We start from the raw sequence: 12,610 nt of genomic DNA, 5'->3' as shown, positions 1-12,610 counted from the left end.
TTGTGTTTGAATTTTTACTACTTGCATTGTCTGGGAAAACCTAAGCCAAGCAATTAGAGGGGTATTAGCTGGTAATGCTGTGGAAAATCTGCCATAAACAAACACACATATTGACCACAGAAACAAAACCTCAACCCATGAGCCTCAGGATTCCCCAATGTAAAGATGAGCTAATGAAAGAGCAAAATCCAAAATTACAAAGGCCATAAAGAAAATGCCACAACGAACAAGACTCTATGGAAAACATTAACAGCAATAACAACCAAAAAATAACAGAATAAGATCTCCAAGGATTTCAGATTGGAATTATCAGATACAAAATATACATACTTAAAAAAGTAAAGAGGAAATCTAAATTTTAAAAGGAGTTAAGAGGCCAGGCACGGCGGCTCACACCTGTAAGCCTAGCACTTTGGGTGACTGAGGTGGGCAGATTGCCTGAGCTCAGAAGTTCCAGATCACCCTGGGGGCAACATGGTGAAACCCTGTATCCACTAAAATATGAAAATTTAGCCGGGCTTGGTGGTGCACTCCTGTAATCCCAGCTACTCGGGAGACTGTGGCAGGAGAATTGCTTGAACCCGGGAGGTGGAGGTTGCAGTGAGCTGAGATTGCACCACTGCACTCCAACCTGGGCCACAGAGCCAGACTCTGCCTCAAAATAAATAAATTAATTAATAAAATAAAAAACAAAAAGGAGTAAGAGACCATCAAAAATAACCAGGGAGATTTGAAAAAGCACACAAAGAAGGCTTGTAGATGAAATATTATCATTTAAAAAATAAAGTGGCCAGGCACAGTGGCTCACGCCTGTAATCCCAGCACTTTGGGAGGCCAAGGCAGGTGGATCACCTGAAGTCAGAAGTTCAAGACCAGCCTGGCCAACATAGTGACACCCTGTCTCTACTAAAAATACACAAAAATTAGCCAGGCATGGTGGCAGGTGCCTGTAATCCCAGCTACTCGGGAGGCTGAGGCAGGAGAATCGCTTGAACCTGGGAGGTGGAGGTTGCGATAAGCTGAGATCGCACCACTGCACTCTAGCCTGAGCGACAGAGCGAGACTCTGACTCTGTCTCCAGAAAACAAAAACAAAAACAAAAAACACACAACATATAGCAATCTTTGTAATATACTGGCAAAATAAAACATTCTGTATGTAATCAACAAGGAATGCTTTCCCACCATTATTTTTACTCCAAGTTGTACTGAAGTCCAGTTATGCTGATTAAGAAGAAAAAAAAGGATATGGAATAGAAAGGGAGAAATTGGGCTGGGTGCAGCGGCTCACACCTATAATCCCAGCACTTTGGGAGGCCGAGGCAGGAGGATGTCTTGAGCCCAGGTATTTGAGACCGGCCTGGGCAACATGGAGAAACCCCAATTCTACAAAAATTACAAAATTAGCTGAGTGTGGCGGCACACACTTGTGGTCCTAGCTATTTGGCAGGCTGAGATGGAAGGATCACCTGAGCCTGGGGGGTCGAGGCTGCAGTGAGCCATGACTGCACCACTGCACTCTAGCCTGGATGACAGAGTGAAACCCTGTCTCAGAAAAAAAAAAAAAAAAAAAAAGACCCAAATTCCTTTTATTTCTTTACTATATCCCTTCTGACAAGAGAATCTACAGACATTATCAGAAGTAATATGAGAATTTGGCAAGGTTGCAGAATCAACATATAAAAGTCAATTTCATTCATATAAATTAGCAATAAAGTGAAAATGGAATCTATCTAACTGCATTTAAAAAGCAACCCCAAACACAAAAGTACCCAACAGTAACTACAATGAAATATGCACAAAATCTTTAGAAGAACATTAATAAACTTAACCCAAAGACATGGAAGACCACGGAAAGGTATCATGTTCAGACAGAAACAGCTCTCCCCAAATTGATCGACAGTCAATGTAATTCCAATTCCCAAGAGTTTGGAGTTTAAAGGGAAAGCAAAGGGCTGAGAACAGACACTTTTGAAAAAGGACAAAGTATGAGAGTCTGCACTACCACCTATCAAAATTGCTAAAAATTTGTAAAACATGAGTGTGATATTGGTGTAGGAAGAGATAAATATACCAAGGGAACAGAAGAAAGTGTCCAGAAATAAACCCATATACAACATGGATATTTTAGATATACAAGGTAGAATTGCAGGTCATTGTGGAAGAAAGGACTATTAAATAAATGGTGGTAGGCTGACTGGTTATCCACACAGACAAAAAGAGTCTCAAAGGGATCCCTACTTCACACCCTACACAAAAATTAATTCCAAGTGGATTAAATACCTAAATGTGCAAAACAAACTTTAAATCTTTGTAAAGAAAATAGAGAAGATTAGACTATAACCTTATATAGGAAATAATTTCTTAAAATATAAAAAGTACAAATCATAAAAGTACTTTAAGTTCATTATGCTGAAATTATCAACCTCAAAAAAGTAAAAGGACAAGTCATAGATCCATAGGAGATTAAGTAAAAATATGTGCAAGTGATAAAGAACATCTAGAACATATAAACAACCTTTAGAAATCAGTAAAAGAAATGATTCAATTTTTTAAGTGGGTAAAAGATAAAAATAGGAAATTTACAAAAGAAATATGGTCAGTAAATATATTTGTAATCAGGGTAACATGAAGTATAATTAAAAGGAGACACCATTTTATACCCATCTAATTGGCAAATTTTACTTATTTTTCTTTTCTCAAGACAAGGTCTTACATGTCTCATGTTGCCAGCAGAGTCACATGCGGCACAAAAGCAAAGCTGGAATGCAGTGGTGCAATCATAGCTCACTGTAGCCTCTGAGGCCCAGGCTCAAGCGATTCTTCAACCTCATCCTCCCAAATAGCTGGGACCACAGGTTCATGCCACCATGCCCAGCTAACTTAAAGTTATTTTTAGAGATGGGGTCTTGCTATGTTTCCCAGGTTGGTTTGGAACTCCTGGGCTCAAGCCACTCTCCTGCCTCAGCCTCCCAAAGTGTTGAGATTACAGGCGTGAGACACTGTGCCAGGCCAGCAAAATTTAGTTTGCCAATACTGTGTGCTGGTGATGATGTGAAGCAACAGGAATATAAACTGCTTGTTGGTAGCACAATCACTTTAAGGAACAATCTGCTAATATCTAACTACATTGAAGATACTCTTAGACAGAAAGTCCATCAAGTTGTAAAACCTTCACACATATATAGTAGAGGACCTGTACAATACTATTTATATGGCATTTCTTTTAACATAGAAAAAAAAGCTGAAACATCCTGTAGGTCTCTTAACAGGAAAATAGATAAATTTTGGTACAGAGACTAACTGAGAGAGCAGCAGAAATGAATGTTATAAAGCTATACCTATCATGATAAACAAGTCTCACTGAGCAAAAGAAAAAAAAATTACAAAGAGTGCTTTCACTGTATCATTTATATAAAGTTCTGGAACATGTCAAAGTGCTATAAATTTTTAGGGATAAATATATATATGTAGCAAAAGTATAGAGAGACGAATGGGAATGAAAGCCGCAGCATGGAGGCTGCCTGTAACGAGGAGGGGGAGAGCATGTTTTATTCAAGCATGAATATTTACTGAACTATGCTTTTACATTTGTATATTTCTTAAGTATTACCTAATAAATAACTAACTAAATAAAAATAAGTAAATAAAATAAAAGTACCTGCTATGGAGAGTTTAAAGCTCTTTAAATATTAGATAAATATAAATAAATACAATAGGCCAGGCATGGTGGCTCACAGTGGCTCACGCTTGTAATCCTAGCACTTTGGAAGGCTGAGGCTGGTGGATCACTTGAGCTCAGGAGTACAAGACCAGCCTGGGCAACACAGTGAAACCCTGTCTTTACCAAAATACAAAAAATTAGCCAGGTGTGGCAGCATGCGTCTGTAGTTCCAGCTACTCAGGAGGCTGGGGCAGAAGAATAGCTTGAACCTGGGAGGTGGAGGTTGCAGTGAGCTGAGATCATGCCACTGCACTCCAGGCTGGGTGACAGAGTGAGACTCAGTCTCCTAAATGAATCAATACAATAAAGAAAAGGTAAAAAACAGAATACCATGAAAACAAATTAGTAATTTTGGTAAGCTACATGTCATAACTGAGAGCTTGCCTGAAACCATCATCAAGATGCTGTGTTTCTTTTACCTGTCTCTTGTAGGTTTCAAGTTGACTTCGCGCTGCGTTGGCCTTTCTTAACTCTTCCTCTAGACTGACAGTATTCTGCATATACATGGTATTCTTCTCTTCTAAGAGTTTAACCTGCCGCCTTAAATCACCAAGGTCTTCTAGCTTCTTTTTATAAGATTCTACTTGACCTTCTAGTTTAGATACTTTATCAGAAGAATGTCTAGAATTAGATGGGAAATTAAAAAAATCAGAAACACATCCACACTTGTAAAGTTGTTTCAGTGTTAAGAAGGATTGCCAGGAAACACACATCTAATGAAATAAGACAAAAGTGATTCCAGGTTAATTTTCTGCACAGGTTAACAAATATGACCTAAGTTACAACTAAATGTTTAATGGAGAATAATAATTTAAGGAAACCAAGCAGGAGAGGGCAGCCAGCAGAGTCACATGTGGCACAAAAGAAAAGTAAGTTTAACAGTGTCCGAATAATTTGGCAATTATCAGTGACCACCAGAATAGCAGCTTCAGTGGGGTAGTGTGGGCAGATAGTGGGGTTGAGGAGAGAATGTCAATTTTACCTTATGTAATCTAAGTTTGGTTCTAGTGGGAAGGAGAGAGTAATAACTCCCTCTCTTTTTAAGATTAAAGAGACCTAAATGCGCGTGTGCATGTGTATGAAGGAGAGAGATTCAAAAGGCAAAAGAAATGAGGATTGATGTAACACAGTCCCCGCGTAGGCCAGAAAGGTAGAGGTCCAGAACACTGAAGAAGGAATTAGCCCTGAACAGGAGGAAGAATAACAGGTCTACACTCACTAAAGAAAGGGTGGGTGGGAACCCAGGGAAGTTTAGAGGTTTTGGAGACAAAAGACATGGAGAGTTCAGCAGTTCACGGCCTCTTTCTTCGCTGCTATAGGAGACAAGGTCATCTATTGAGACTAAGTCATGGGAGGTGTGTGTGGAGGGCAGCCGGGGAGTAGAATCCTGAGGAATCAGAATGGCTATGAGTGAGACAATGAGCAAGGGGAGGGCGGGCCATTGGGAAGAACCCAGCTCAGAAGGAAGCCACCAATTGGCAGGAGCACAAAACTATCAATTATGCATTTCCCCTGTTCTCAGTATTCAAAGAGCAAAAGTGGAAAATGTAGATGGTTGAGATAATCAACAGAGGATAGGAGACTGTACAAGCAGAGGGGTGAAAAAATGAGGTGACAGGGAGTGAGGCACCTCATGAGAGAACTGAAGGGGTAATAACAAGGCCCAGCAAGAAAATGAGGCCTTGCGGGCGTGGCGGAAGAACAGCTCCAGAGCTGTACAAGTAAGAAGTGATGGTCACAATTTCTATTTTACAAACACTTGTGTATCGCTTAATTGCCAGACACTGTTGCAAGTGTTTACAAATATAAATTCACTCAACTCCTCATATAAACCTGAGGTAGGCATGTGTATTGTTTCCATTTTGCAGATGAGAAAACAGCCATACAGAGGTTGCATAAGCAGTAGACCCGGGATCCCAGCCCAGGTAGCCTGGCTCTTAAGTTTGCTAGATCCTCAGAAACCCTAGAGTTTCTAACACCAGAGCCAAACTGTGCTGGGCGGTGAAGGTGAGGTTTTTACCTCAGCACGTCGATCTCATCTTTCAGAGACTGAGCTTCATCTGCCAAAGTGGTCAGTTCATCATTCTGTTGCCGAAGTTCAGAGATCTCCTTTTCTAACTCTTCACAACGTATTCGATAATCATCTTTGGCTGCTTCTAGTCTGTAACCGATATAAAATAGACCAAGAAAGCACTATTTACTGCCTCCTCATTCTCCTTAGAACAGTAAAAGAAAGATATAAAGCATGAGAATAAAGCCTTCTTGAGTATGTCTCCCATGTTAGTGGCCACAAGCTGCATTCTCAAGCACTAACTGTCATAAAAATGAACTCCACTGTCCCAAGTCTTGGGAACGGTGACAACTGGTTACTATTTCCCTACCAGAAAGCAAGACATCATGCAACATTTTTCTGAAATATTGCAGATACAATTTAAGGGCTTTTTTTATTATAAAATTAACACATATGGTCTGGCACAGTGGATTACAGTAATAAACCCATTATGTTAATAAAAACAACATACTCTTTATGAAAAATAACTATTTTCTAAAACAAAAAAAGTGAGAAGAGTGGCACTGTTTTATATTTTTGTGATTCTATTATCTGTTTTAATAGAAGACAGCTGGGTTCTCATATTTGTTTCTACATTCATCTGTTGGTGACATGTTGTTTTTTGGCTGAAGCATATGAAGAAAATCCAGCCTTGCAGACACATAGTCGGGAAAGAGAGGGTCTTGCAGATTCTCCAAAATGGTTATCAGAGGACCTCCAGGAGCCTCGACCATTCTTTGAACTGCTGACGTGGACCAAAGGGAATGGACTGTTTCTAAGGTTTCTAAGGAGCCTAAGAAAAGTTTATTACTTTTTCCTGTTAAGGTAAAAGAAAAAAAAAAATCCAGAAACATTTCACTGAGGAATAACAAGAATAGTTATGTTACCACACTCAGTTACTCAGTAAAGTAAAAATCTAATTGATGTTTAATTTCTGTTTTAACACTAGAAATCTATGGCTAGGGAAGAAACAAGTGATGACGCACTTTTTAGTAAACCGTAACAAAATATTTTCATCATACTCTTGTCTTTCGATTTTGTGCTTCCGTCTTATCTTGCAGGACATATTTTCCTTTTTCTTCTTTTTCCTTTCACCACCCAAAGGTCAAAGGGCCCTTCTTCCTTCCTTTTGGGCTTTTCTTCCCACAGAAGATGTCTGGAAGATTGTTCCTTTAAATCTCGCCTGTCCTTTTAAATCAGCTCACCCCTTTAAATAAGTCTATCTCTATAAACACACACATACACACACACACACGTATATAGATTTCTATAAGTCTATAAATGCATCTGTCTTTTAAAAATCCCTGCCTGTAACTTTTCATGTCATCTGGCCCTTCCCGAAGATGTGCTTATTTTGAAATCCCTAATCTGTGGTTTATGGTCTGCTCTGACCATTACTTTTCCAAACCAAAGTCATTTCAGATTTTCAGTGAAATTTAATCTTTCTGGTGATCATGTCAACTCGCCTTCAGGCCCCTTCACAAATGTTCTTCCTCGGTCTTTCTTGAAAGTTTCCTCAGTCGCCTTTGTTTCCCACAGAGGGGCAGGTGTGGGGTACTCCCTCTCACTCAGGTATCCTATAGTTGCGGCATTCTGCCTTCAAACAATAAGGAGGGTGGCGCTCTGATAGAACACTTCCTAGACGTGAAGTAGTTTCATGTTGTGTGAGGAGATTCTGAGTTGTTTATTTGGAGCCTCAATGGACTGCAGTTTCCCAGAAGTCCTAACATTATATTTTTTTTTTCTTTTTTTTTTTTGAGACAAAGTCGCGTTCTGTTGCCCAGGCTGGGGTGCAGTGGCACGATCTCGGCTCACCGAAATCTCCACACCCCCAGTTCACGCGATTCTCATTTCTCAGCCTCCCGAGTAGCTAGGATTACAGGCACCTGCCATCATGCCTGGCTAATTTTTGTATTTTTAGTAGAGATGGGGTTTCCTCATGTTAGCCAAGCTGATTTTGAATCCCCGACCTCAAGTGATCAGCCCGCCTCAGCCTCCCAAAGTGCTGGGATTCCAGGCATGGACCAATGTGCCTGGCCAATATACTCTTAACTTTAAATGACAGCTAACAAATTTTTAAAAATCAGATTTTAATGAGTTGTCTTTTACCTGAATGTTTCTTCTTGGAGCTGTTCTAATTGAGTCTGGAGCTGCAAATGCCTTCTTCCTGCTGGACTGTTAGGGTCTTCTATAGAATCAGATTGATTGAGTCTTTCCATTAATACCTGATTCTCTGCCAACAAACTACTTTTCTCTTCCTGCAATGCTGCAACCTGTTGGAATATAGGACGACGGCAGTTATTTCTTCCAACTACACTGGCATCAGCTCAATCACTTGTGAATTACCATTACAAATTAAAGCCTATATATAGATTTTTTGAGGCGGAGTCTCACTGTCGCCCAGGCTGGAGTGCAGTGGCGCAATCTCGGCTCACTGAAAGCTCCGCCTCCTGGGTTCACGCCATTCTTTTGCCTTAGCCTCCCGAGTAGCTGGGACTACAGGCGCCCACCACCACGCCTGGCTAATTTTTTCTGTTTTTAGTAGAGATGTGGTTTCACCATGTTAGCCAGAATGGTCTTGATCTCTTGACCTCATGATCCGCCTGCCTCGGCCTCCCAAAGTGCTGGGATTACAGGCGTGAGCCACTGCGCCCGGCCATTAAAGCCTATTTTTAAAGAAGTACAATCAATCTCTACTTAAAACATTTACATCATTTTGGAATACTGCACGTGCAGAGCAAGATGTAAGAGTAACAATTCATTCTTATTTCATATTTGAAGAAACACCTCACCAGACAAGATATAGAGATGGCAAAGAAGCACACTAATAAATAATCATTAGTTATCAAGGAAATGCAAATTAAAATCACATTATTATATAACTACACTCCCACTAGAATAAATAAAATTAAAAAGACTGACTGTACCAAATGTTGGCAAAGAAACTTGTGGTGAGAATATAAAATGTTTCAAACATTTTGGAAAATAGTTTAGCAATTTCTTAAAGAATTAAACATGCAACTACCACATGACTGATTTAGCCATCCTACTCCTAGGTATTTACTCAGAGAAATAAAAGCATACGCCCACACGAAGACTTAGGAACAATGTTTATAGCAGCTTCATTTGTAATAGAAGAAAACTGGAAACAATCCAAACGTTTGCCAACAAGCAAATGGATAAATGATTTGCATCCCAAATCCAAAAATCCAAACTCAGAAATGCTTCAAAATCTGAATGTTTCTGAGCACCTACATGACACTCAAAAGAAATGTTCATTGGAGCCATTTCAGCTTTTGGATTTTTGGATTTAGGATGCTCAACCAGTAAGCATATAATGCGAATATCCCCAAATCCAAAAATATCCCGAATTTCATATATGGAATACTCAACCTGTACTACTACTCAGCAATAAGAAAGAATTAACAATTTACAGCTACAACATAGATGAATCTCAAAATAACGTAAGAAGTCAGACAAAAGGCTGGGTGCAGCAGCTCACACCTGTAATCCCAGCACTTTGGGAGGCCGAGGTGGGTGGATCACCTGAGGTCAGGAGTTCGAGACCAGCCTGGCCAACATGGTGAAACCCCATCTCTACTAAAAATACAAAAATTAGCCAGGCGTGGTGGCAAACGCCTGTAATCCCAGCTACTCAGGAGGCTGAGGCAAGAGAATAGCTTGAACCTGGGAGGCAGAAGTTGCAGTGAGCTAAGATCGTGCCATTGCACTCCAGACTGGGGGACAAGAGCGAGACTTTGTCTCAAAAAAAAAAAAAAAAAAAAAAGAAGAAGAAGTCAGACCAAAAAAAGTCAATATATTTGGCAGAACTCCTTTTTACACACAGACAAAAAGAATCTAATTTTCAAAACATAAACATGGCTGGCATGGTGGCTCCTGCCTGTAATCCTAGCACTTTGGGAGACTGAGGGAGGAGGATTACTTGAGCTAGGAGTTGGAGAACAGCCTGGGCAACACAGTGAGACCCTGTCTCCACAAAAAATAAAAAATTAGCTGGGTGTGGTGGTGAATGCCTATGGTCCCCACTACTTGGGAGGCTGAGGCAGGAGGATCACTCGAGTCCAAGAGGTCGAGGCTATAGTGAGCCACGATCACACCACTGCACTCCATCCTGGACGACAAAGCAAGACTCTATTTCAAAAAAAAAAAAAAAAACACACGGGCCAGGTGCAGTGGGTCACGCCTTTAATCCAAGCACTTTGGGAGGCCAAGTTGGTAGGACTGCTTGGGGCCAGGAGTTTTGAGACCAGCCTGGGTAGCATAACAAGACCCCATTTCTACCAAAAAAAAAAAAAAAAAAAGAAATGAAAATTTTAGCCAAGCCTAGTGGTAGGCACCTGTGGCCCCAGCTATTTGGAAGGCTGAGGTGGGAGGATCACTTAAGCCCAGGAAGTTGAGTGCAGCAAGCTGTGATCATGCCACTGCACTTCAGCCTAAATGACACAGCATGACCCTGTCTCAAAAAACAAAACAATGAGCCAGATGAGGTGGCTCACACCTGTAATCCCAGCACTTTGGGAGACGGAGGTGGGCAGATCACCGGAGCTCAGGAGTTTAAGACCAGCCTGGGCAATATGGCAAAACCCCAACTCTACGAAACATAAAAGAATTAGCTGGGTGTGGTGGCATGCGCTTGCAGTCCCTGCTACTCGGGAGGATGAGGTGGGAGGATTGCTTTAGCCCAGGAGGCGGAGGTTGCAGTGAGCCAAGATTGCACCACTGCACTCTAGCCTGGGTGACAGAGTGAGACCCTGTCTCAAAAAACAAAACAAAACATAAACATGATTATTTAAGAAAATAACAAAGCAAAGGGGCTTATAACAAAAACCTAGTTTCCTATGGAGTTTTCCCACTCTCCAGAGAATATTTTTACGGTTCCTAATTTTATTGCTTTTGGTTGTCACTTTACATATCTAAATAATGTTACACAATTATTTCTTGACTTATCAACCTTAGACATTATCTAGTGACTCTCTCCTCTGACATGTTTGATTATAGCAACTTGAGTCATTCCTTCCTACCATAAATATAGTTAATCACTGTTCTCACTTCTTTCATTGATCACCTCTGCAACTTTAAACTACTTACTGATTCATTTCACTCAGTCACCCACCCACTCATTCACTCACTCACCTACTATGTGCTAGGTATGGTTGCAGTTTTCTAAGTGCAAGGGATACAGTGATGAAAAAAGGGAAGTTCTTACTCATGTGTTATATATTCAAAACAAATTATAAGTAAAAACAAATCATTGCACAAGAAAGTAAATTAATAAATACATGTAAAAACCAGAATATAAAGTGCTATGCAGAGTGATATGGTTTGGATATTTATCCCCTCCAAATCTCATGTTGAAATGTAGTCCCAAATGTTGGAGGTGGGGCCTGGTGGGAGGTGTTTGGATCACAGCACTGGATCACTCATGAATGGCTTGGTAGTGTCCTCACAAGTGAGGGAATTTTTGCAAGACCTGGTTGTTTAAAAGTGTATGGCACCTTTCCACCCCTTGCTCCTACTCTTGCCATGTGACACAGCTGCTTCCCCTTTGCCTTCTGCCATGATTGGAAGCTTCCTGAGGCCCTCACCAGAAGCAGATGCTGGAGCCATGCTGGAAAGCCTGCAGAACCGTGAGCCAATTAAACGTCTTTTTTCTTTATAAATTATGCAGCCTTGGGTATTTCTTTACAACAATACAAAAACTGCCTAGTACACAGAGGGTTAAAATAAGAACAACAAAAAAGACTGGGTGATTATTTGGGATTACTCAACCATGGAAGGCCTTCCTGAAGAGACCTACTTTAGACCTACTTCAGTGCCTGATGCATCCCAGTGCCTGACACTTTATGACAAATAAATCAGGTGATTTTTGAGCTGAGGTTGGATGACAAGGAGCAGCCAGCCATGTAATGATTGTCTCCCTGTAGAAGTGGTTCTAGATGCCCTACTTGGTTAAGATGAAAGCCATCATTTCTGGCTCTCCCTTTCCTTCATCACTCCTGTTTTACTTCTCAAACTCTATCATTGGCATCTTAACTTTTACAATAGTGTTTCTCTGTAGGAATTCTAAATGTTGAAAACCAATAAGGTTTACATTAAACATTACATGCTTATGACTGTGTTGCTGTTTTCTCCACAGCAAAACATGCTGTAGGGCTACCTCTTCTCTTCTCATAACCTCTCTGCAACACTATCATTCATTTTGCAATCTGTCCATACCTGGGATTGGCAAACTGTTCTGGTGTAAAGGACCATACTGTAAATGTTTTAGGCAAGTACTCCACTCTGTCATTGAAGCCTGAAAGCAGCCACAGACAATACATAAAGGAGCCATGATAAAATTGTATTTGTAAAAACAGAAAGCAAGCCACAGTTTGCCAATCCAGTATACAAATTTAATTTTATATTACTAAAGATACTTATATTCTGCTTATAAAAATAATGAAATCTTATTAGTATAACTCTTAGCATTTGTATATAAATTCTAAAATCTGAAATGCAATTAATGGCACTTACATTACGACTTTGTAAATATTATTTCCTAGATAACCCAACAAGTGTGATGTGATTACCTTCTTCAATATGCATCCAATGCAATGACCAACTCATATGCCTTTCAAAGCAAAATGCCTCTTCTATTACCAAGTATTATGAACTCTACATATGCATAACCCAGTTTTAACAAGTATCAAAACATGGCCAACTATGTCTCCCATGTATGTCCCCCTCTTTAGTCAAAGTAAATTCCAGACAAATAATCTTATTTTTGTCTGTTATTTGTGAAAGGTATTCTCAACTTTACCTTTAATTATGCTCTTG

The 12,610-nt window shown here is 40.2% G+C and overlaps 1 protein-coding gene across 1 annotated transcript in view; it reads right to left on the bottom strand.

Annotated features, from left to right (window-relative positions):
* The window catches only part of HOOK3 (hook microtubule tethering protein 3), a 133,558-nt gene that overhangs the window by 58,179 nt on the left and 62,769 nt on the right, over nt 1-12,610 (bottom strand). The window contains exons 9-11 of the mRNA NM_032410.4: nt 7,883-8,046; nt 5,744-5,884; nt 4,143-4,344 (exon numbers count right to left, since the gene is read on the bottom strand). Of these exons, the coding sequence (NP_115786.1) occupies nt 4,143-4,344; nt 5,744-5,884; nt 7,883-8,046 (507 nt within the window). The remainder of the gene's footprint in view (nt 1-4,142; nt 4,345-5,743; nt 5,885-7,882; nt 8,047-12,610) is intronic.

The sequence above is a fragment of the Homo sapiens genome, chromosome 8 (genome assembly GCF_000001405.40).
Source record: "Homo sapiens chromosome 8, GRCh38.p14 Primary Assembly".
In the NCBI taxonomy this organism is placed as follows: domain Eukaryota; kingdom Metazoa; phylum Chordata; class Mammalia; order Primates; family Hominidae; genus Homo; species Homo sapiens.
This window is presented reverse-complemented; position numbering and strand designations above follow the sequence as displayed.